At 39.6% G+C, this 26,828-nt stretch overlaps 1 protein-coding gene and 1 pseudogene across 4 annotated transcripts in view, besides 1 other annotated feature; one reads left to right on the forward strand and one right to left on the reverse strand.

Moving 5' to 3' along the window:
* NDC1 (NDC1 transmembrane nucleoporin) overlaps positions 1–26,828 on the reverse strand; it is a 72,819-nt gene that overhangs the window by 32,324 nt on the left and 13,667 nt on the right. For all 4 annotated transcript variants that reach the window (NR_033142.2, NM_001168551.2, NM_018087.5 and 1 more), the window contains 6 exons: positions 21,170–21,278; positions 11,894–11,945; positions 9,855–9,990; positions 8,624–8,716; positions 6,127–6,208; positions 2,892–3,047 (listed from right to left, as the gene is read on the reverse strand). Coding sequence is in view for 3 of the 4 variants with exons in the window: in NM_001168551.2 (NP_001162023.1) it covers positions 2,892–3,047; positions 6,127–6,208; positions 8,624–8,716; positions 9,855–9,990; positions 11,894–11,945; positions 21,170–21,278 (628 nt within the window). In the remaining variant the exon portion in view is untranslated. The remainder of the gene's footprint in view (positions 1–2,891; positions 3,048–6,126; positions 6,209–8,623; positions 8,717–9,854; positions 9,991–11,893; positions 11,946–21,169; positions 21,279–26,828) is intronic.
* LOC124904725 (uncharacterized) lies at positions 12,473–12,587 on the forward strand (annotated as a pseudogene).
* Positions 13,738–14,272: an enhancer, noted in NCBI's record as "H3K27ac hESC enhancer chr1:54277212-54277746 (GRCh37/hg19 assembly coordinates)". NCBI's record gives its function as "activates a minimal SCP1, AML or CMV promoter by ChIP-STARR-seq in naive H9 embryonic stem cells {active_cell/tissue: H9 hESC(naive)}" and the evidence as "EXISTENCE:reporter gene assay evidence [ECO:0000049][PMID:30033119]".

The following is a 26,828-nucleotide window of genomic DNA, read 5'->3' on the forward strand; positions in this document are numbered from 1 at the left end:
TATTTTTTGTAGAGACAGATTCGCCATGTTTCCCAGGTTGGTCTTGAACTCCTGGGCTCAAGTAATCCTCCTGCACTGGCCTCCCAAAGTGCTAGAATTATAGGCATGAGCCACCACACCTGGCCTGAAAGTTCTTTCAAGTTAACAAAAGTCACACCAAAGGCTAATTTGCCCAGAATATCTATAAATCTGATCTGTAAACAGCTTTTTCAAAAGTCATCTTATGACTCTCCAATTTAGTAATAGAGTCTGTTATACAAAAACAAAAGGAACTTTTCTTGTCACTCCAGCACAAGCCACAAAAACAAACACATTGCATTAGGATTCCATCTTCTTTTTATTATTATTATTATTATTATTATTATTATTATTATTATTATTATTTTGAGATAGAGTCTCACTCTGTGGCCAGGCTGGAGTGCTATGGCGCAATCTTGGCTCACTGCAACCTCCGACTCCCTGGTTCAAGTGAAATCTCCTGCCTCAGCCTCCCGAGTAGCTAGGATAACAGGCATGCACAACCACATCCAGCTAATTTTTGTATTTTTAGTAGAGACAGGGTTTCACCATGTTGGCCAGATGGTTTTGACCTCCTGACCTCATGATCCGCCCACCTCGGCCTCCCAAAATGCTGGAATTACAGATGTGAGCCACCTCGCCCAGCTGGATTCCATCTTCTTAATAAAACCACCATAAGAAATATAAGAAATTAAACATCCCAAGTACCAAATTTTCATTATATGACTTTTCTTTTTTTTTTTTTTTCTCCTTAAGAAGGAGTCTCACTCTGTCACCCAGACTGGAGTGCAGTGGCATGATCTCAGCTCACTGCAACCTCCACCTCCCGAGTTCAAGCAATTCTCCTGCCTCAGCCTCCTGAGTTGCTGGGACTATAAGTGTGCAACACCACAGCCAGCTAATTTTTATATTTTTAGTAAAGACGGCGTTTCGCCATATTGGCCAGGCTGGTCTCAAACTCCTGACCTCAAATGATCCACCTGCTTCGGCCTCCCAAAGTGCTGGAATTACAGGTGTAAGCCACCACACCTGGCCCATTATATGACTTTTTAAAGGTTAATGGAAATTAGAAATCTTTGAAAAATCAATTTAAAAATTAAGACTGGAGTTTTTAAGAGTTTTACAATTATTCTTCAAAATATGAGACAAATTTTGGCTGAGTGATGGTATATGACAAAAACTTACAATAATGAATGCTCCATATTTGGTCAGACTCATGATCTACCCAACCCAGAATTACAATGATCTTTCCAACGCTAATTTGATGGAACTAGCCTATTCAAAATTCTCCAATGGCTCCATATCTCTATAGAATAAAATCTAAACTTTTTTTGTTGCAAACAAGGCTTCCTTTCATTATCAAACATCATCTTATCCAGTCGGACTCCTTTTGGACAGATTTCCTTTTGGCAGTTATATTGTATCATTATTTGTGTGCCTTCCACTAAAAGGTCAGATCCAAGAGTGTTTTCCATCTGTGATTCCCTGGCTTCTAGCACATTGTTTGGTATGCAGTAGGAATTCAATAAGTATTTGTTGAATAGAGGAATGCTGATCTGAAAGCTGATAACATCTGAAACACTCTCAAACCTTTCAAAATCTGATGTGTGTTAATTTATTTAAATCATTTTTCATATGTAATCTATTTGTTTTGGGGCTATGACCCCACCAGAGTACTGATTTTGAAACTAGATGAGTTTGCTTTGATCTATATAGTGATTTTTAAATATCAAGATTAGTTGCCAATGTTTAACAACTGAAAGATTTCACCTCAAAATTTGTTTAGATTTCAGGCTTCTCTTTTTTAAAAAGACCGGAAGTTCACATATGGGATCCAAAGTCCCATATGGGAACAATGAAGCAGGGCTAACCAACAGCTTCCCCCTTCAGAGGAAGCCTGTGCTCACAGGTTCACCACCATCCTCACCCAGCCAGTTTCATCCATTTTCACTAAATGCCTGGCTCCAAAACACATGGAACATTAAGTCCTTTTATCAGTCTTACATTCATAGGTGTCTTCTACCTAAGGGATTTGGTGAACAAGACAGGTTCCTCCACCTCTACTTCTTCCTCTCAGCTTTTGTCTTTTAAATGGAAGGGGTACTAACATTATGCCCCACTTCCAAATCACCCAGTCGTCTCAGCTGCTCTTCTCTGGGACAGCAACTTTTTGTCTCTGGACTACTGCAACCAGAACAGCAACAGATATTGTCTGCAAAAATTCACCTGGCTTTGTGCTAGAGTAAGCTGAAGTCTCCTATTTAATAGCCATCATTTTGGTAGTGTTTTTAATGCTACCACCACACTGAACTTAATTTGTTTCAAATTAACCAATGAAAAACTGCATATACTTAGAGTGTACAACGTGATGTTTTGGGCTTAATTTTTTCAATCTACAATGATACCCACGTCATTTTCTTGGTTCAATATAAGATGCTATATGTTGGATCAATTTTCCCTAAAAATATACACCTCACACTCATATAAGTATCCTTCAATTAACTACAGTCATCTTTTTTTTTTTTTTTTTTTTTTTTGAGACAGTCTCACTCTGTCGCCAGGCTGGAGTGCAATGGCACAATCTCAGCTCACTGCAAACTCCGCCTCCCTGGTTCTCCTGCCTCAGCCTCCTGAGTAGCTGGGACTACAGGTGCACGCCACCACGCCCAGCTAATTTTTGTATTTTTAGTAGAGACAGAGTTTCACCATGTGGGTCAGGATGGTCTCGATCTCTTGACCTCATGATCCGCCCACCTCGGCCTCCCAAAGTGCGGGGATAACAGGCGTGAGCCACAGCGCCCAGTCTACTACAGTCATCTTTCTTAGGAAATAAAATGTAAATGTTTTCCCCTCTTAGTAGTCCTAGGGATTACCTGGAGAATTTAATTTCTTAGGTTCCACTGGGTAAGATGAAGACACTCTCCCATTCGTAGCAGCAGCTTCTTGATAGAGAATCAGTTTCTGAGTCATACCATTTAAAAGATTCAAACACTCCCTTGAAATGGCTGTCCAATTGTGGGGATGTCCACCTAGGAGGTCCAAACACCAGCTTTTAAAATGTAAATAATCTTACATTCCCCTCTTGAAGTGGGGGAAAAAGTCAGTAAGAAATTCTACATTATGCTTGGCATCAGGACCCACTTTTCTTAGTGAAGCTACTATTTATACTCATGACATCTAATACACAGCAGGAGTTCAATGAATACTTGGATGAATTAAGTTTCCCAAAAGTCTACAAGCAAAAACTTGCTATTTTACCACACACATACCAAAAAAAAAAAAAAACAAAAAACCTCTCAAATTGGTCGCTAAAATAAAGCCAAACACTAGATCATAGGTTGAGCGAGAAAGACCAGGGTTACTTCACTAGCAGTATTAAACAGACTGCTATGACTGTGAACAATGAACTAAGACAATGAACACTACGATGTCCAGTGAGATGCACCTCCATGGTCCCCAGTGACCTCTAAACTTTTGCGTCTGACCCCCTGGGCTTCCTTACATTTTCATGTATATAACAGCCCCTATTTGCTGTTACATCTGTGGGAATGACTCGTTAATAATGATCACACTTTACACTCAGAGAGCTTACAGATTATCTTATTATTTAACTTAAACTACTGTGTCCCCATTCCTTTAAAAATTCCCTTATTTCTCATAGTAGATCTTTGTCGCCTAGAGTTATTATATAAAAATCAAGCATGCTCCATTATGCGTTAATAGCAGAGAAGTCTACTGAAAACTGGTTTCTCTATCCTATGTGCCAAATGATCATTCCCTCTTCACTTGGATCTCTCCTTAAACACTCCCCCCATTGTAAAACTCAGGAATACCACTTAACCTACAAACACACACACACAATACTCTATCACTAGGCCTCAGGATGTTTTGTACTACTGTAATTTGGGTACATGAGGAACTGTGTAACCATCCAATTAAATTTTTGTTTGTTTTTGTGATGGAATCTTGCTATGTTGCCCAGGCTGGAGTGCAGTGGCAGGATCTCAGCTCACTGCAACCTCTGCCTCTGGGGTTCAAGCAATTCTCCTGCCTCAGCCTCCCGAGTAGCTGGGATTATAGGTGTGCAACACCATGCCCAGCTAATTTTTGTATTTTTAGTAGAGACAGGGTTTCACCATGTTGAAACTCCTGACCTCAGATGATCCTCCCGCCTCAGCCTCCCAAAGTGCTGGGATTACAGACGTGAGCTGCGTCCATCCAATTAAATTTTTTTTATGTGCTAGAATGTACACTCTCTGGCAGAGCAAATGCCACCCTTTTACGGTTTACTTGAATATCTGGTAAAAAACATTTAGAGTATAGAATTCCTATGTTAACTCAAATCTGATAGAAAAGCATTGTTATAGTTAATTTTCCACAGTATCAGCTCTGGGTTTCTCATGTTACTAAAAGGAGAGTGGTTCCAGTCAATTACATTTTTATATAACTGGATTTCATTTCCATATAACATTTAACTATAGAAGGTTTATTATCTGGTATTTTATCTGGTAATTGGCAAGCTTGGCAAACTAATGAAGAAATCATTAAAAAAAAGATGAAAAGCTGGTTGAGTGTACTGGCTCACACCTGTAATTCTAACACTTTGGGAGGCCAAAGCAGGAGAACTGCTTGACCCCAGGAGTTCAAGGCCAGCCTGGGAAACACGGCAAGACCCTGTTTCAACAAAAATTTTTAAAAATTAGCCAGGTGTGGTGGTGCACACCTGGTATGCCCCTATAATACCAGCTACTTGAAAGGCTGAGGCGAGAGGATCATATGAGCCCAGCAGTTCGAGGTTACAGTGAGCTGTGATCATGACACTGTACTCCAGCCTGGTGATACAGTGAGACCCTGTCTCTTAAAATACAGAAGAAAGGCTACCCAGGTTCTCTGTTTCCCACCAGTGCCTGGGACTGGACTGTTTTCCCTCTAGGAACAACAGAGAACTGGCAAAGTCACAGTCTTGAACAGCATGGCAAGAACAGTATACACTGTAAGTGTTTCAGAGTTGCTGAGAGCATCCTTGAGTCACCATTGAATCTAGTTTCTTCCTAATTTTTTTTTAAAAGGAGGCAGAGTAGCATAGCAGAAGGAGGAGTCCTGTACATGGAGCCAAATGACAGGACTCTTATTCCAATTCTGACATTAACTTTATTTAAGCCAATCTCTGAGACTTAAATCTCCCATCTAGAGAGTAGACCACCTAATTTTTAAGATCCTTTGTAGCATTAAAAGTTTTAGAATTCTTTTTTGGGGTGGGGAGGGGGACAGGCTCTCACTTTGTCACCCAGGCTAGAGTACAGTGGCACAATCTTGGCTTACTGCAGTATCAACCTCCTGGGCTCAAGCAATCCTCCCAGCTCAGCTCCTCAAGTAGCTGCGACTACAGGCACATGCTACCATGCTGGGCTAATTTTTTGTATTTTTTGTAGAAGAGCGGTCTCATCATGTTGCCCAGGCTGGTCTCGAATTCCTAAGCTCAAGTAATCCACCCACCTTGGCCTCCCAAAGTGCTAGGATTACAGGGGTGAGCCACCACGCCCAGCCAAACTTTTAGAATTCTTAAGCTGTATTTTTCTGCCCTAAAATTGTCAGTGTACTAAATAATTTCTTCAGGTTAAGGAAATGAAGGAGCTGAAGGTAATAAACTCTTAAGCTGTGTAAGATTTAATTCAATACTTCATTTAATGGACTCATTGACATCTGATATTTTATTAAATACATCTTTCTCACCAAAAACTTTAAGTTAATTAATTTTTTTTTTCTTTTTGAGACGGAGTCTCACTCTGTCACCCAGGCTGGAGTGCAGTAGCGCAATCTCGGCTCACTGCAAGCTCCGCCTCCCAGGCTCACGCCATTCTCCCGCCTCAGCCTTTCCAGCAGCTGGGACTACAGGCGCCCGCCACCACGCCCGGCTAATTTTTTGTATCTTTAGTAGAGACAGGGTTTCACCGTGTTAGCCAGGATGGTCTTGATCTCCTGACCTCATGATCCGCCTGCCTCGGCCTCCCAAAGTGCTGGGATTACAGGCTTGAGCCACCATGCCTGGCCAAGTGAATTACTTTCTACACACATATGCCTAATCAAGTCTATTACTTTTAGCAATACCTGGTTGGCTGAGGCTGAAAACTTCTTGTCTTCGTGAAGGAGAATATTGAGAAAGCAACATCAGGTCCTGCAAGGCTAAATACTAACAGGGGGAAAAAACACATATTATTTAATTTTTTTTAACCTCTACATAAAATCTCACTAATTGGGTTCATCATTATATATCCAAGAGGAAATTAATTAAACTTTTTCATGAAAAAAAAAATCTCAGAACCATAACCTTCCTTTCTAGACTTCCAGAACTTTCCTGCCTCTACCCTCCCTACCTACTACAAGTTCTAGCTACAAGGAACTACAGAATTCTCTGTGCTCTTTCATATATCTGCGGTGGGAAATTGAAACATCACTTCCTCCTGGAATTTTCCCTGGTTTCCCTCACACAAACATACACTCACATAGCTCTCAACAATGGCACTAACATCATGTATTGTAATTGAATGTTTACTTGTCCCATCTGATTCCACCCACCAAACTGTGCGGCCCACAAGAAAACGGAAAATCTTACTTGCTACCATATCCAAAGGCAGTGCCTAGCACGTGATACCTAATTTTTTTTTTCCTTTTTTTGAGACAAAGTCTCACTCTGTTGCCCAGGCTGGAGTGCAGTGATGTGATCTCGGCTCACTGCTACCTCCGCCTTACGGGTTCAAGCAATTCTCCTGCCTCAGCCTCCCGAGTGGCTGGGACAACAGGCACACACCAGCACACTCAACTGATTTCTGTATTTTTAGTAGAGATGGGGTTTCACCATGTTGGCCAGGTTGTTCTCAAACTCCTGACCTCAAGTGATCCACCTGCCTTGGCCTCCCAAAGTGCTGGGATTACAGGCATGAGCCACCATGCCCGGCCACCCTATTTTTTTTTTTTCTTTACTGAAAATCTTCATCTTTTCCCAGGCAAACCCCTTTACTCATCCTTCAAGATACCATCCCTCTCTGAAGTTTTCTTGCATTGGTCCCAAGCTGAATAAGAGGTCCCAATGTATTTGCCACAGTACATTTTAGTTATTTTGGGCGTCTGTATTTTCTACTAGGCTGTGCTATGTCTTATTCATCATTCTACCACAAACAACTAGCAGAGACTGACGTACCACTAAATAAATATTTGGTGAGTAACCAAATGAGTAACTGATACTTTTAAGTTTCTCTAACAAATTAGTTATAATTAATATTTAAAAGTAATTCTATTTATTTTCTTATTTGTTTATAAATTCTTTAGAGTGTGATCAAAACTGGGTTCTAACTACTTTCTTTTAGCATTTCTGTTTGTTTGTTTAGAGATGGGGTCTCACTCTGCCACCCAGGCTAAAGTGCAGTGGCAGGCTAGAGTGCAGTGGCAGGGTCACAGCTCACTGCAGCCTCCAACTCTTAGGCTCAAGGAATGCAATTGCCTCCACCTCTCAAGTAGCTGGGACCACAGGCATGTGCCACCATGCCATTCAACTAATTTTTAAATTTTTGTTGAGATGAGGTCTCCCTATGTTTTCCAAGCTGGTCTTGAACTCCTGGGCTCAAGTGATCCTCTCACCTCGGCCTCCCAAAGTGCTGAAGACCACACACAGCCTCTTTTAGCTCTTTTTAAAGGACCTTTTAACAGGATCACACATACTGTAGATCTAGTTTAAAATTTCAACTTGCAAATTCAATCTAAACCATTTATGCTTACTTAGATTGATTTGTAAAATTACTACAACTTCTTTAAATTCTTGATTGTAATTAGTTTTAGGGTCATTACCAGCAATTCATATTTAAGGAGAGTTCACTAAATATCTATACATTTCTAAGCGCTATTTTTGATCACAAAAGCCAACTAATACTACAAGAGTAAAAATGTTTTGATCCAGTGATTAAAAAATCAATAATATTGGCCGGGCGCGGTGGCTCACGCCTGTAATCCCAGCACTTTGGGAGGCCGAGGCGGGTGGATCACGAGGTCAGGAGATCGAGACCATCCTGGCTAACACGGTGAAACCCCGTCTCTACTAAAAATACAAAAAATTAGCCGGGCGTGGTAGCGGGCGCCTGTAATCCCAGCTACACGGGAGGCTGAGGCAGGAGAATGGCGTGAACCCGGGAGGCGGAGCTTGCAGTGAGCCGAGATCGCGCCACTGCACTCCAGCCTGGGCGACAGAGCGAGACTCCGTCTCAAAAAAAAAAAATCAATAATATTTTGTTATGCTATCATGAATAGTTTGTGAGAAGTTAATGTAGATGATTGCATATCACTGTATTTTATGCTTGGAAATATTCTTATATCTGTTTCTGAATATAGAATTAACTAGCTTATACACATACACTGTACTGTGCACTTGCATTTTAGTCACTTGGAAAGAAAATTGAAAAAATAAACAGCATTAGCAAGTAGGTGATTTTTATCATACCAGTACAAGAATATTATAGGCCCTCAAAAAATACAACTACTTAAATATACTAAATATTAAGTGTATTGAATAAAGTTAGAGAAAACTGTGTGAAGATATGCAACACAGTTTGGATACCTTTATGATGGGGGGAGGATTGCTATTTAACACTTTTGGAAGGCACTCATCTGACCCTTCTGCAAATGGTGGTTGAACAGGAAACACATGAGCCTATCAAATAAATTAAAAACCAAAAATGATTATTTTCATGATCTTACATTCAATAAGCATGCACAAATTAAAACATAAAGACAGACAGCACAAGCAAACTGACATCTTTCGTGCTCCTTGCAAAGACAGGTTAAAGTTACATAAACCCAAACACACCATTTTTTTTAATGTTACTTTCCCAACTTTATTAGACTCTGTCTCTGAATAATAAAAACCACTTTCACAAACAAGGATTCTCTGAAGCCACTGAAGAATACAAACCTACGGAGATTGTAAAATAAAACAGAAACACTAATTTTCTAAGACAAACACTTGGATGATAAAAACAATGTAATTCTCAATCACTTAAAAAGATTTCTGTGGGAATTATCCAGAAGCTCACCTCAATTTCCAAAATCATTTCTTTAATATAAATTTTAAAACTTCCCTTCAGAAAACAAATATCTTGGCTGGGTGGAGTGGCTCACACCTGTAATCCCAGCACTTTAAGAGGTCGAGGACAGATCATTTTGAGGTCAGGAGTTCGGCACCAACCTGGCCAACATGGTGAAACCCTGTCTCTACTAAAATTCAAAAAAAATTAGCCGGGCATGGTGGCACACGCCTGTAGTCCCAGCTACTCGGGAAGCTGAGGTGGGAGAATCACTTGAACCTGGGAGGCAGACGTTGCAGTGAGCCAAGATCAGGCCACTGCCCTCCAGCCTGGGTGACAGAGCGAGACCCTATCTCAAAAAAAAAAAAAAAAAAAAAAAAAAAATTCTTACTGCCACATATTTAAATATTTTAATAGTAGCTATGCCAATGACATGGAAAATTAATTTAAAATTCAAGTCCATTTAGTATGTACTCAGTAGAGAAATGGAAGCCCCCAGAAGACAACTAGGATGTCAATAAAGCATAGTGGCAGTCCATTCAGTTTAATCTCCAAAAATTAAGTGAATATCCACACTGTTCCTCTGAAAAAAAATACCACATAAATGGTGGTTACAAATGATATGGCCCCAAGAGTCTCAGAAGAGAGACCAAAAACCAGCTTACGGAAATGGTTTTGCGTGTGCTGATCAGTGTGCTCTGCTAAAAATCAACTGTGCACTCCAAAACACAAAAGTATTAAGAAAAAATATTTTAAAAAACATACCTCTGTGGCATAGATTTTGAAGAGTATCCATGAGACATACCAAGTCGTCAGGAGAAAGACACCACACAGCCAGACATGGTAGAGTAACGAGAGATTTAAGAGGCCACTCACTGTGTCAAGTGGCCTATGAACCTGCCTGTGAATGCAGAAATTACTATTAATCCTCTAGGAAAAATGCAATCTAAATATTAACACACTTAAGTCTCCACATTGAGACACAAATATTATGTCTAAATAACAATGTTGACAGACTCCTCTCCTTCGATATCTTTATAAAGCTCTTTCCCTAATACTTTCTTATGAGGTACATGAGGGAGCTTTAAGGGAAGAACAGACCTAAATCGGGGCTACAGTTTCCTGTGTTCAAAATCTTCACTGACTTTTACTACGAAGGAGGAATGAGCTAAGCCTATAAGCCTCACTACGAGCAGCTGGGTGAAAGTTTATTATTGTTGCTTTGTAGTCTAATACCTCAAAACCATTAAACATGACTAGTACTTCTCCTGGACCAGATTTCAGCTTTATCCTTATGCCCTATAAACCACAGATTCATAGTCGTTAAAAGCACATGCTACTAAACAATGTTAAAGCAATTTAAGACACTCTGTTAGACTGCTAAGTAAAGCTAATGCTGCCATCTTTCCAAAACTTTGACTAGATCAATTAGCAAAGTTATTATAATCCTACAACCAGCAATTATGAAAACCAGGATTGGAACCTGACTCTGCCATTTCTAAGTGTTGTGATTAGGTAAATCACTCCACCTATCCCACCAGCGGTTTCCTCATCCATATAAGAGTGGCATAATATGTTCATTCTTCCTCTTAGTCCTATTACAATTTTTAAAACAGCTTACATTAGGAGTGCCCAGCACAGTGCTTGACATTCACTGGGGGAGTCAACCAATGATGAAGTTATTTTTAACTTCTAAGTAAACATTTTACTGAGGCCCTGACATAAATGAAGGACAGATTATCAGGCACTCAGCCATATACACAAAACATTTTTTGAGTGCAAGGAAGAAAAAAATATTGTTAAATTTCTATCAAATGCCATTATTATTTTTCTCTTTCCATTTCACCTAGTTTAAAATCTGGGCTAAAACAATAAATGACTCATGCGTTTGGTTTCATACCTAGCAAGTAAGCAGAAGACAAAACTAAATTTTGCCTAGAAACTTTGAAAAGTGAGAAACCATAATATCTCTTAAATACCATGTATGTCAATATTCCCACTCCCTAAAACTGATATTAGTGAATTCCATATATGAAACAAAAACCCTCACAGTGGAATATACAATAAGAACAAACACTGAGAGAGACTGACTTTTATTCGGCAAATACAGATTAAACCTTTATGTGCAAAGTGCATAGAAGATTACTACAACAATATACAACCGTGCTGTCACTTGACTGCCACTTGTGACCTTCAACTGATTACCTGACCTTGCTCAATTTTGGTTTCCTCTCATAGGCTAAATTAGAATAATGCCACAGCATTGGTATATATCATGAGACACCAGAGAAGGAATGATTGTTGGGGAGAAAAACGAAACAGAGGCCTGGTCCATGCAACTCGAGAAAGCCACTTTTGTATAGTATAAAAGCTGCATCTAAGAACAATTATCATTGCTTACTTCTGCGGAGAACTGGGTGAGTGGAGACAGAGGAGGAGACTTTTTCATTTTATACCCTATTATTATTATTTTCTTTTTGAGACAGGGTCTCGCTCTATTGCCTAGGCTGGAGTGCAGTGGCACAATTATAGCTCACCGCATCCTTGAACTCCTGGGCTCAAGCGATCCTCCTGCCTCAACCTCCCAAGTAGCTGGGACTACAGGCAAGTACCACCAAGTCCTGCTAATTTTACCCTTTTATACACCTTTGGAATTTTAAACCATATAAACTATATGTATTCAAAAATGAATACAATTTTTAAAAAAATGTTAAAGGCAAAATCTAAACAAAATATCTGGAAAATAGCAAACATCTAAAAGAATGGAAACAGAGTTAAAATTAGACTTTTTAGGTATCACTTACTCATCTATGTGAAGGTTCATAGCAGTGCTAATCCAAGCTTTGGGAATATAGCCTGAAGGGAAAAAATACCAAGCTATGAACATAAAAAGTTATAAAACAAGTTTTAGTCAAGCTTTAGAATATAAGGTCAATGACATGGCCACACAGACACCAAGACCTCAGTCAAAATGTTAGACTTATTAGGAATGAGTAGGAAAAGACAGTACTTATTAACACAGGCAGTCTTTGCTTTGTACAGTTCTGATATATACACATTTCAGTTACCATGGTTTAGTTAAAAAATACCAGTCACCCAAAAATGCAGTTCAAACTCTAGTTACTGTGGTATATTAACTATAAGCAACTGCATATAGCACTTCTAACTTTTCAGGACACAAATCAATATGTAGATAACCGATGTGCATTATAATCTGTGACCCAATCCCATCAATTCTCTCAAAGTCTGTTGCTGATTGGTCACTTGGATCTGTTATTCAGTACAGACACAGACAGCAAAGCATGTAGTTGTGTTGCCTCCTTGTTTCCCACAATAAATCCAAATGATACTTTTAAAAAATGAATAGCTAAAACAGGAAAGTAGTGCTTGCTTCAGCAGCACATATACTAAAATTGGAATTGCGCATACTAAAAGGGGAATTGCGCATGACCCCTGCGCAAGGATGACATGCAAATTCATGAAGCGTTCCATAAAAAATAAAATGGTTTTAATTAAAAAAAAGAAGAAACTGGCAAAAAAAAAAAAAATCAAAGTGCAACAAAGAAATGAAAAGTGATAATGCTGAAAACGAAATTTGAATTGAACATAAATGAAGTTATAGGAGAAAGAGCAAATCATGGAAATGATCATAGTCACAAAAATAGCCCAAATAAACAACTCTAGAGGAACAACCAGGCTGACTGTATGTAGTAGGTCAATACATTGCAATGAGGCTGAGCGTGATGGCTCATGCCTATAATCCCAGTACTCTGGGAGGCCAAGGTGGGAGGATCACTTGAGGCCAAGAGTTCAAGACTAGCCTGGGCAACATAGCAAGACCCCATCTCTAAAAGAAAAGAGACACTACTAATCATGATGGCAGATGGGTGGCAGGACTAGATTGCAGCTCCAAACAGGGCAGCTTGCAGATGCTTGTGTTGTGATTTTTAGCTCCAGATCGACTGCAAGAACAAACCAGCAATCACAAGAGGACCCACAGACCCTCTGAAGGAAGCAGACTGCTCCTGAGGACCCGGGAGACACCCCAAATACTGTGAGTGCCCCAACTGTGGAAGTGGAAAAGGAAGACCCTCCTCTTCTGAACACACACCCCCACTGGAGAAGGTGAAGGTCTGTCTGTGGGAGAAGTTTCTGACCTTACCTGGAGCTGAACCAGTTTAGAGAGTCAAGCGAAATACAGGGGTAGAGGAAGCAGCAGAAAGGCCCTGGGAGCTTGCTGCACTCCCTAGCAGGCCATTCCTGCCTGGCACCACAGGGATCCATCAGAAGGTTGACCAGAGGAGCAGGGAGTAAAACTCCACAGGGAAAAGGAAATCTCCAGCTGAACTTTGTAACAATTTAAATGGGGCAAGAAGCCTCCTGGCCAGAACTTGGGGGAGAGGGCAAATCTAATGTGTAGACTCCACAGGTGGGGCAAGAACCAAGCTCTTTTCTCTCCCAGCTGGGAGGCGGGTAGCCCAGGGCAAGTTTTCAAGCCCATCTGGCCTTCCACCTGGAAACAGACTCAGGGCTGTTGCAGGGCGGTGGGAGTGAGACTGGCCCTTTGGTTTGCATGGGACCTGGGTGAGGCCTGTGACTGCCACTTTCCCCCACTTCCCTGACAGCCTGCATGACTCAGCAGAGGCAGCCATAATCCTCCTAGGCACACAACTCCAGTGACCTAGGAATCTAACTCCCATTCCCCACAGCAGCTGCAGCAAAAACTGACCCAGGAGAGTCTGAGCTCAGACTCGCCTATCCCCACCCCCACCTGATGGTCCTTCCCTACCTCAATACAAAGGACATATAATCTTGGGAGTTCTAGGGCCCCACCCACTGCCAGTCCCTCTCCACACTACTACAGCTGAGGTTTTCCGGAAAGCGCCACCTCCTGGCAGGAGGCCCAATCAGCACAAAAGTAGAGCATTAAACCACCAAAGCTAAGAACCCTCATGGAGTCCACTGCACCCCCTCACCACCTCCACTGGAACACGCACTGGTATCCATGCCTGAGAGACCCAGAAACAGTTCACATCACAGGACTCTGTGCAGACAACCCCCAGTATCAGCCCAGAGACAGGCAGACTCGCTGGGTGGCTAGACCCAGAAGAGAAACAACAATCACTGCAGTTCGGCTCACAGGAAGCCACATCCATAGGAAAAGGCGGAGAGTACTGCATCAAAGGAACACCTCGTGGGACAAAAGAATGTGAACAACAGCCTTCAGCCCTAGACCTTCCCTCTGACAGAGCCTACCCAAATGAGAAGGAACCAGAAAACCAACCCTGGTAATATGACTATACAAGGCTCTTCAACACCCCCAAAAAAAATCACACTAGTTCACCAGTAATGGATCCAAACCAAGAAGAAATCCCTGACTTAACCTGAAAAAGAATTCAGGAGGTTAGTTATTAGGCTAATCAGGGAGGGACCAGAGAAAGGCGAAGCCCAATGCAAGGAAATCCAAAAAATGATACAAGAAGTGAAGGGAGAAATATTCATAGAAATAGATAGCTTAAAGAAAAAACAATAAAAAATTCAGGAAACTTTGGATTCACTTTTAGAAATGCGAAATGCTCTGGAAAGTCTCAGCAATAGAATTTAACAAGTAGAAGAAATTCAAAGCTTGAAGACAAGATCTTCAAATTAACCCAATCCAACAAAGACAAAGAAAAAAAAGGAGAATATGGACAAGGTCTCCAAGAAGTCTGGGATTATGTTATACGACCAAACTTAAGAATAATCGATGTTCCTGAGGAAGAAGAGAATTCTAAATGCTTGGAAAACATATATGGGGGAATAATCAAGGAAAACTTCCCTGGCCTTGCTAGACCTAGACATCCAAATACAAGAAGCACCAAAGAACACCTGAAAAATTCATCACAAAAAGATCTTTGCCTAGGCACACTGTCATCAGGTTATCCAAAGTTAAGACGAAGGAAAGGATCTTTAAGAGCTGTGAGACAGAAGCACCAGGTAACCTATAAAGGAAAACCTATCAGATTAACAGCAGATTTATCAGCAGAAACCCGACAAGCTAGAAGGGATTGGGGCTCTATCTTCAGCCTCCTCCAACAAAACAATTATCAGCCAAGAATTTTGTATCCAGCGAAACTAAGCATCATATATGAAGAAAACATACAGCCTTTTTCAGACAAATAAATGCTGAGAGAATTCGCCATTACCAAGCCACCATTACAAGAACTGCTAAAAGGAGCTCTAAATCTTGAAACAAATTCTGGAAACACATCAAAACAGAACCTCTTTAAAGCATAAATCAAACAGGACCTATAAAACAAAAATACATGTTGAAAAGCAAAAACAAAAAGCAAACAAACAAGTACACAGGCAACAAAAAGCATGGTGAATTCGATGGTACCTAATATTTCAATACTAACATTGAATGTAAATGGCCTAAATCCTCCACTTAAAAGATACAGAACCACAGAATGGATAAGAACTCACCAACTAACCATCTGCTGCCTTCAGGAGACTCACCTAACACACAAGGACCCACATAAACTTAAAGTAAAAGGGTGGAAAAAGGCATTTCATGCAAGTGGACACTAAAAGCAAGCAGAGGTAGCTATTCTTATATCAGACAAAACAAATTTTAAAGCAACAGCAGTTAAAAGAGACAAAGAGGGACATTATATAATGTTAAAAGGTCTCGTCCAACAGGAAAATATCACAATCCTAAACATATATGCATCTAACATTGGAGCTCCCAAATTTATAAAACAATTACTAACAGACCTAAGAAATGAGATAGACAGCAACACGATAGTGGGGGACTTCAATAATCCACTGACGACACTAGATAGGTTATGAGAACAGAAAGTCAACAAAAAAACAATGGATTTAAACTATACCTGGAACAAATGGACTTAACAGATAGATACAGAACATTTCATCCAACAGCCATAGAATACACATTCTATTCAACAGCACATGGAACTTTCTCCAAGATAGACCATATGATAGGCCATAAAACAAACCTCAATAAATTTCAGAAAACTGAAATTATATCAAGCACTCTCTCAGATCACAGTGGAATAAAACTGGAAATCAACTCCAAAAGAAACCTTCAGAACCATGCAAATACATGGCAATTAAATAATCTGCTCCTGAATGAGCACTGGGTCAAAAACTAAATCAAGATGGAAATTAAAAAATTTTTTGGCTGGGCGCAGTGGCTCATGCCTGTAATCCCAGCACTTTGGGAGGCCAAGGCGGGTGGATCACGAGGTCAGGAGATCGAGACCATCCTGGCCAACACTGTGAAACCCCGTCTCTACTAAAAATACAAAAAAATGTAGCCGGGCGTGGTGGCGGGCACCTGTAGTTCCAGCTACTCAGGAGGCTGAGGAAGGAGAATGGCGTGAACCCGGGAGGTGGAGCTTGCAGTGAGTCAAGATCGCGCCATCGCACTCCAGCCTGGGCAACAGAGCAAGACTCCGTCTCAAAAAATAAATAAATAAATAAATAAAAAATAATTTTTTGAACTGAATGACAATAATGACACAACCTATCAAAACCTCTGGGATACAGCAAAGGCGGTGCTAAGAGGAAAGTTCATAGCCCTAAGCACCTACATCAAAAAGAGTGAAAGAGCACAAACTGACATTCTAAGGTCACACCTCAAGGAACTAGAGAAATAACAAATCAAACCCAAACCCAGCTGAAAAAAGGAAATAACTGAGATCAGAGCAGAACTAAATGAATTTGAAACAAAAACAACAACAAAAATACAAAAGATAAATGAAACAAAAAGCTGGTTCTTTGAAAAGATAAGTAAAACTGATAGACCATTAGCAAGATTAACCAAAAAAAGAAGAGAGAAAATCCAAATAACCTCACTAAGAAACAAAACAGGAGATATTACAACTGACACCACTGAAATATGAAAGATTGTTCACAACTACTATGAACAACACCTTTACGCACATAAACTGCCAAACCTAGAAGAGACAGATAAATTCCTGGAAAAATACAACCTTCCTAGCTTAAATCAGGAAGAATCAGATAACCTGAACAGACCAATAACAAGCAGTGAGATTGAAATGGTAATTTTAAAATTACCAACAAAAAAAAGTCCAGGACCAGATGGATTCACAGCAGAATTCTACCAGACATTCAAAGAAGAATTAGTACCAATCCTTTTGACACTATTGCACAAGATAAAGAAGGAACCCTCCCTAATTCATTTTATGAAGCCAGCATCACCCTAATACCAAAATCAGAAGGGACACAACCAAAAAAGAAAAACTACAGACTGTTATCCTTGATGAATATTGATGCTAAAATCCTTAACAAAATACTAGCTAACGGAATCCAACAACATATCAAAAAGATAATCCACCATGATAAAGTGGGTCTCATGCCAGGGATGCAGGGATGGTTTAACATACACAAGTCAATAAATGTGATACACCACATAAACAGAATTAAAAACAAAAATCACATGATCATCTCAACAGATGCAGAAAAAACATTCAACAAAATCCAGCATTCCTTTATAATTAAAATTCTCAGCAACATTGGCATACAAGGGCCATAACTTAATGTAATAAAAGCCATCTATGAGAAAGCCACAGCCAACATAACACTGAATGGGGAAGAGCTGAAAGCATTCCCTCTGAGAACTGGAACAGACAAGAATGCCCACTCTCACCACTCCTCTTCAACATAGTACTGGAAGTCCTAGCTAGAGCAATGAGACAAGAGAAAGAATTTAAAGGCATCCAAATCAGTAAAAAGGAAGTCAAACTGTCACTGTTTGCTGATGATATGATCGTTTACCTTAAAAACCCTAAGGGCTCCTCCAGAAAGTTCCTAGAACTGATAAAAGAATTCAGCAAAGTTTCCAGCTACAAGATTAATGCACACAAATCAGTAGCTCTTCTATACACCAACAGTGACCAAGTGGAGAATCAAATCAAGAACTCAAACCCTTTTAGAATAGCTGCAAAAAAAATAAAATACTTAAGAGTATACCTAACCAAGGAGTCGAAAGATCTCTACAAGGAAAACTACAAAACATTGCTGAAAGAAATCAGGCAACGCAAACAAATGGAAACACATCCCATGCTCATGGATGGGTAATTAATATTATGAAAATGACCATACTGCCAAAAGCAATCTAAAAATTCAACACAATCCCCATCAGAATACCACCATCATTCTTCACAGAATTAGAAAAAACAATTCTTAAATTCATATGGAACCAAAAAAGAGCCCACATAGCCAAAGCAAGACTAGGCAAAAAGAACAAATCTGGAGGCATCACACTACCTGATTTCAAACTATACTATAAAGCCATAGTCACCAAAACAGAGCGGTACTGGTGTGAAAATACGCACATAGACCAATGGAGCAGGATAGAGAACCCAGAAATAAACCCAAATACTTTCAGCCAACTGATCTTCGACAAAGCAAACAAAAACATAAAGTGGGGAAAGGACACCCTTTTCAACAAATGATGCTGGGATAATTGGCTAGCCACATGTAGAAGAATGAAACTGGATCCTCATCTCTCACCTTATACAAAAATCAACTCAAGATGGATTAAGGACTTAAACCTAAGACCTGAAACCATAAAAATTCTAGAAGATAACATTGAAAAAAACCCTTCTAGACATTGGCTTAGGCAAGGATTTCACGACCAAAAGCCCAAAAGCAAATGCAATAAAAACAACGATAAATAGCTGGGACCTAATTAAACTAAAGAGCTTTTGCATGGGGAAACAAAAAACAAAAAAAAAAAAAACAGCAAAGTAAGCAGACAACCCACAGAGTGGGAGAAAATCTTTACAATCTATACATGTGACAAAGGACTAATATCTGGAATCTACAACAAACTCAAACAAATCAGTAAGAAAAAAAACAAACAATCCCATCAAAAAGTGGGCTAAGGACATGAATAGACAATTCTTAAAAGAAGATATACAAATAGTCAATGACATAGAAAATGACAAATGGCAAATGACATATGAAAAAATGCTCAATATCACTAATGATCAGGGAAATGCAAATTAAAACCACAATGCAATACCACCTTACTCCTCCAAGAATGGCCATAATCAAAAAATCAAAAAACAGTAGATGTTGGCGTGGATGCGGTCAACAAGGAACACTTCTACACTGCTTGTGGGAATGTAAACTAGTACAGCCACTATGGAAAAGTGTGGAGATTCCTTAAAGAACTAAAAGTAGAACTACCATTTGATCCCGCAATCCCACTACTGCGTATCTACTCAGAGGAAAAGAAGTCATTATTCAAAAAGGATACTTGCACACACATATGTATAGCAGCACAATTCACAATAGCAAAATTGTGGAACCAACCCAAATGCCCATCAATCAACGAGTGGATAAAGAAACTGTGTATATATATATGATGGAATACTATGCACATAAAAAGGAATGAATTATCAGCATTTGCAGTGACCTGGATGAGACTGGAGACTATTATCCTAAGTGAAGTAACTCAGGAATGGAAAATCAAACATTGTATGTTCTCACTGATACGTGGGAGCTAAACTGAGGATGCAAAGGCATAAGAATAATACAATGGACTTTGGGGACTTGCAAGCAAGAGTGGGAGGGGGATGAGGGATAAAAGACTACAAATAAGGTGCAATGTATACTGCTTGGGTGATGGGTGCACCTAAATCTCACAAATTACCACTAAAGAATTTACTCCTGTAACCAAATACCACCTGTACCCCAATAACTTACAGAAAGAAAGAAAGAAGAAATATAAAAGAAAAACATGACAGTGAAGTATTTACAGAAGAATGACAATCATAAGAGCTATGTAGAAATGGACTATATAAACTACAAGTGAAAGAAATAAACAGGATGGCCTATACACAGTGAGAAGAATTTTATAAAATATATATCCATAGAAAATATAGGATCAGAAAAAGTTATAATCTGAAAATAGTATTTCTGAAGGTAGGATTTTGTTTAAATTATTACATGTTGCTAACAAGATTAATGTTTTCACCTTGCACTATTCATGATACTAAATAATAAACTGATTTTTGTGCTTAATATTCATGTTAATAAATTCCACAAGTTTCCCCTACCAACAAAATATTTACATTGTATTAGTATCAAGTTACAAATTATAAAAAGGAGGATGTCATTTCTAGATAGAGTAATGACCAAATGATGCACAGTATTTTTTCTTTCTTAAAAAAAGAATGCATTTGTTTTTAATTGTGGTAAAAAACCTACACATAAAATTTACCATCTTAGGCCGGGCGTGGTGGCTCATGCCTGTAATCCTAGCACTTTGGGAGGCAGAGGTGGGCGGATCACCTGAGGTCAAGAGTCCAAGACCAGCCTGGCCAACATGGTGAAACCCCATCTCTACTAAAAATACAAAAAATAGCCGGGTATGGTGGTGCACGCCTGGTAGTGGTCCCAGCTACTTGGGAAGCTGAGGCAGGAGAATCACTTGAACCCAAGAGGCGGAGGTTGCAGTGAGCCAAGATCGCGCCATTACGCTCCAGCCTGGGTGACAGATCATCAAAAAAAAAAAAAAATTTACCATTTTAGCCATCTTTAAGTGTTCAATACAGTAGTGTTAACTATATGCACATTTTTGTGCAACAGATTTCTAGAACTTTTCATTTTGCAAAACTGAAACTCTATACCCACTGAACAACTCCACCCCTTCCCAACTCTCCAGGCTGACAACCACCATTCTGTTTTTTAAGAGTTTGACTATTTTAGATACCTCATATAAGTGGAATCATACAGTATTTGTCTTTTTGTGACTGGCTTATTTCACTTAGCGTAATGTCCTCAAGGTTTATTCAAGCTGTAGTACATAACAAGATTTCCTTCTTTTTAAAGGCTAAATAATATTTCGTTATAGGCATATGTCACATTTTCTTCAACAATATTTTCCTAAATACATTCTCTTTGACAATTTAAACAATGAATCAGTTGAGCTAATCACATACCTATAACTGTAGAAAACACAAAAACACAAGAATGACTTTGTAACTGACATTTTCTGGGCTATGAGATAATATATCACTGTATCAAAAAGCAGAAATTCTTACCAAGAAAATAATATAAAATGCAGAAATTTCTAACCAGGAACAGTGATTCCACACAACTGTGTTTAACTAATAAGAGCAGAGATCTCCTAAAACGCAAGAACTTGTATTGCTGTGGGGAAAAAAAAAAGAATCAAATGACACATTCAAATCAAATGATACACTCAACATCACCTTAAAGCAAGCACTTTACTGTAACAGTCTACATAGAAAACATAATTATTGTATAAGAAGACAAAGAGTATTGCAGAAGCAAAAACATCAACTATTTCAGATGTTAAAAAATTAATATTTATATTATTCAACATCTCACTGATATAAAATCAGAAATAAGAAAATTAACCATATCAATCCATACTTGGTACTAAGCACTATGCAGATGAAGAAAGTACAAGAAACACAGTAACAATAGCAGCTAACATTTTTTTGTTGCTTACCATGTACCAGGTACTGTCTGTCCTAAGCACTTTACATATTTGAATTCATTTAAACCTCATAAGAACCCTGTAAGGGAGTTTTTACTACTACCCTCATCTTAGAGATGAAGAAAACAAGGCACAGAGAGATTAAATAACAACCAATGTTATCAACCAGCAAAAGGAAAATCTGAGCTATCAATCCAGGCAGGCTGGCTTCAGAGCCTCCAATCTTAAAGATAATGCATACTGCCTTTGCACTGAATTTTTAAAAATGCTCTTTGCAAAAAAATGGGAGGCAGTGAAGAAGACACTAGCCTAGGAATCAAGAATTGTGAGTTCTAGTGCTCCCTCTTTCTGTACAACCCTCAGTAAGTCATGCCTCCTCTCTAATTATGTGAAAGACAAGAAAGCTGAACCAGCTAAATAGTTCCTTAGTGGGAACCTGAAAATTCTAATGATCTAAGACAGGGGTGCCTTATCTTTTGGCTTCCCTGGGCCACACTGAAAGAAGAATTGTCTTGGGTGACACATAAAATACTAATGATAGCTGATGAGCTTAAAAAAAAAAGAAAAGAAAAGAAAAAGGGCTGGGTGCGGTGGCTCACACCTGTAATCCTAGCACTTTGGGAGGCCTGAGGCAGGTGTGTCACTTGAGGTCAGGGGTTCGTAACCAGCCTGACCAATGTGGTGAAACCCCGTCTCTACTACAAATACAAAAATTAGCCAGGTGTGGTGGCACATGCCTGTAATCGCAGCTACTCGGGAGGTTGACGCAGGAGAATCACTTGAACCCAGGAGGCAGAGGTTGCAGTAAGCCAAGACTGCACCACTGCACTCCAGCCTGGGCAACAGAGTGAGACTCTGTCTCAAAAAAAAAACAAAAAGAAAGAAAACAAAATCGCAAAAAAAAATCTCATAATGTTTAAAGAAAGTTTATGAATTTATGTTGGGCCACAGGTTGGACAAGCTTGATCTAAGAAAAAGGAATCAAATAAGAAAAAAAAATCGGGGAGTGGGGAGGGATAGCATTAGGAGATATACCTAATGTTAAATGATGAGTTAATGGGTGCAGCACACCAACATGGCACATGTATACATACGTAACAAACCTGCACATTGTGCACATGTACCCTAAAACTTAAAGTATTAAAAAAAAAATGTCTTTTCTTGAAAAAACTACACGTTTTCTGAAACAAAGGTTGTCTACCTCTCTCTCCTTCTCAGTCTCTGCCCCTAAAATACCAATGGAAAACAAGATAAATGATTAGAAGGAATCTAAGGAAAAAGAAAAAAATAAAAGATGTACTTCTCTCTCTTTTTTTTTTTTTTTTTTTTTTTTTGGAGATAAGAGTCTTGCTCTGCCTCCCAGACTCAAGTGAAGTGGTGCCATCTCAGCTCACTGCTACCTCTACCTCCCAGGTTCAAGCAATTCTTGTGCCTCAGCCTCCTGAGTAGCTAGGACTATAGGCACGCCACGCCTGGCTAATTTTTATATTTTCAGTAGAGATGGGGTTTTGCCATATTGCCCAGGCTGCTCTCAAACTCCTGAGCTCAGGCAATCTGCCCACCTTGACCTCCCAAAGTGCTAGGATTACAGGCATGAGCCACTGCACCCAGCCCTGGTCTTCTTTTATGCTTATATTACGACTGATTCTTCCTTAAGGAATTTCAGAAGCTGAAGAACAGCAAATAATTATAGTATTCAGAAACTATATCTTCATATTATGAATGGAGATGCCTACAGTATCTTACAAAAAGCAGCCCAGGCCAGGTGCAGTGGCTCATGCCTGTAATCCCAAAACTTTGGGAGGACAAGGTGGGCAGATCACTTGAGGCCAGGAGTTCAAGACCAGCCTGGCCATCATGGCAAAGCCCCGTCTCTACTAAAAATACAAAAATAATATATGTAAGATAAGGCACGGTGGCAGGCGCCTGCAATCCCAGCTCTTTGGAAGGCTGAGCTGGGAGGACTGCTTGAACCTGAGAGTTCAAGTTGCAGTGAGCCGAGACTGCGCCACTGCACTCCAGCCTAGGTGACAGAGCGAGACTGTCTCAAAAAGAAAACAAACAAACAAAAAGTAGCCCATATAAATACTTGGTCACTAATCATATTGCTTCAATTATATTGGTCTGTTCAAATATTTTCAAAGTACAAGATGTGGAATTGCACTATTCTGTGTAGCCACTGGGTGCTACCACCACCACACACCTGCCCCAATAAAAACGCCATAGTTCCTATGCTATTCCTACTATAGCTTTCACCTCAACCATTCTTCACAAAGGTTCAGAGAGGCTAGGGAAGCAGGTCGACATTTCAGCAGACAGGCAGAAAACACCATTTCCCCCACCTCTTGCTCCCATGCTGAAGTGTTTTTCAATTCTCTGTTGGATTTCTTCTGTGATGTAGCTATGAACTACCCTTCACTAAATATTTACTGTGTGCCAGGCACTATGCTAAATGCTCTATAAATGTAATACTTTCAACAGTCTTGTTGGCATAGTTGTCTTGATGTCCATTTCTTTGTGCCCTACTTCATACTAACAGTCTGCTTTTCCCTATGGGTCCATCATTAAGAATTATTTTTGTTCCTGTTCTTTTTTGGTTGGGTGATTTTGTTTTCATCTTTTTTATTATTTGTATTTTTTACACTCCTGGTAACTCACAGAACAAAGAATCTGATAAAGGCAATAGAACTGGTTTTAGTAGTGTAGGCAAGTTTAAAGAAAAAACTAATGGACTAATGGCAAATTGGTTAAAATTAGTAGATCTTTAAAAAGCCGTAATTTTTCTACAAAAATTAGTTGGGCGTGGTAGCGCACGCCTATAGTCCCAGCTACTCATGAGGCTGAGGCAGAAGAATTACTTGAACCTGGGAGGCGGAGGTTGCAGTGAGCCGGGACTGTGCCACTGCACTCCGGCCTGGGCGACAAGAGCAAAACTCCGTCTCAAAAAAAAGCCTCAAATTTTCATAATTACATGAAAAAAGTAGTTACTGAATAATATATATAAGATAAAACCACTTATATAAACCCCACTTCACAAAATATATAATGTTATAGGTACATACATGTAAATGTACACTAAACGGTCTGGAAGAATATATACTAAACTGGTAGCAGTTTAACTGGTAAACTGCTACCAGTTTAGTGTATATCCTTTAACCGGTAAACTGTTACCAGTTTAGTGTATATCCTTAATCCCATTGGTAACAATGGTTACCAGTGGGACAAAGATTGAGACTGGCCATGGGATGGTCAAGGAAACATTCAATTTATCAATATGATATTTAAATATTTTATAATAAAAATATTATCACTTTGGAAAGCTACCTGACAGGTAGCATCAAAAATAATGATGATATAAACATACTCAGACTGTCTGGCAAAAAATAAATAAATAAATAATGATGATAATGATAATGGTTGTTATTGCTTATAAAATTCTTTAAGCTCTAAAGTTCTCTGGTCAGCTTGGCTATCAATCATCACATCGCGCTCTATAGAGGGTCAGAATGGGAATGGGCCTGACTTCTCACATCAAACTTGCAGTTTCCTGACAATCCAACTTGCTTCCTTAGCAACTTAAAATGCACATGGAAAGGTGAAACACTTCTAGAGCTAATGAAAGAAAGATAAGCTACGGTGTCCTCCCTCCCTCTTAGTCTTCTCGGGAGGCAAACCTACCCTGCCAGGCAAGACACTTACAAACCTGATAGGCAGGAAACTATGGTTCTGGGCACCAAGAGCTATCATTTCCACTAGTCTTGCCAAATCTTCAGCTTCCTCATTCCACTGCCCTTCCACCACACCACCCAGCAAAACACCTGCTCCAACCATCCCCAGGCTGGAGAACAGCGCCCACCTGGGCAAACCAATACCACTATACACTCATGGCTACAAGACATGCCCCATATATATTTTTTGACCAAATACTGAATTACCAATTATCAAAAATCAATACTCTGTCAAAGCTGAAGCCAAAGCTGAATATTACCATCATAGAATAAACTTTTGGGATTAAGAATAAATCTAACATTTTACCAAAAGAAATTACAAAAAGAAAGTACTAAAATTTTACAAATTTTTACAGTACATGGTAGAAACAATAATTTATCAGCATTGTCAACTATCAGACTTCTATGTGCACTCTACTGCATATCTGTGGTGTTAAATACATGGTCACTTTCAACTGGGGACCATGGAGGTCCAGCAAGGTATTGTGGGGCATCTCATTTTTCCCTAACACTTTCTTTTATTTTTAATATTCTTAATTTTGTTAGAATCAAAGATGATTTATTATGGACATTTCTATATAAGATTTTGGAGTTTTTCTCCTTGTGAAATTTTGAGGTAGCCAAGTTGACATCCTGCTTTTAATTCATCTTCACAAGATATGAAGGATTTCTAGATAGGACTTTTTTTTCATACACTCAGATTGCAGGGAGGTGAGGGCCAGATCCTTTTCAGTGGGCACCATCTCCCTGCTGTGTGTGTATTTTCATTAGCTTGTTCTCATGGATGCAACAGGCATGTGAAAACTTTATTTCTTTTTTCTTTCTCTTCTTTTTTTAAAGAGATAGGGTCTCAGCCAGGCATAGTGGCTCATGCCTGTATTCTGAGGTGGGTATATCGTTTGAGTCCAGGAGTCAGAACAGCTTGGGCAACATAGCTAGACCCCACTCTACAAAAAATACAAAAGTAGCCAGGCTTGGTGGTGCATGCCAGTAGCCCCAGCTACTCAGGAGGACTGAGGTAGGAGGACTGTTCGAGCCAGGAGGTCAAAGCTGCAGTGAGCGATGATCGTGCTACTGCGCTCCAGCCTGAGTGACAGAGCAAGAACCTTTCTCGAAAAAAAAAAAAAAAAGAAAAAAGAAAAAGAAATTTAAAAAGAGAGAGAGAGAGACACGGTCTAGCCATGTTGCCCAGACTGGTCTCAAAGTCCTGGGCTTAAGAAATCCTCCCACCTCAGCCTCCCAAAGTGCTTGGATTATAGGCACAAGCCAATGTGCCCAGCCAAAAACTTTAGTTAATCCAACACATTCTTATATGTTATACTCTTATAATAATATACCATTTGTTTACATATCCCTCCCTCCCCACCAGACTGAGTCCTAGTGGGAGGGAGGCTAGTTCTAACATTTTTGCTCCAATGCCCAGTCTTCAGCCTGCCAGGGCATGAATGAAGCAAGTAATAGAATTGTGCGAATGAGGAGCAGCAGAAACAGGCTGCGAAGAGCCCTGAT

The sequence above is a fragment of the Homo sapiens genome, chromosome 1 (assembly GCF_000001405.40).
Source record: "Homo sapiens chromosome 1, GRCh38.p14 Primary Assembly".
In the NCBI taxonomy this organism is placed as follows: Eukaryota; Metazoa; Chordata; class Mammalia; order Primates; family Hominidae; genus Homo; species Homo sapiens.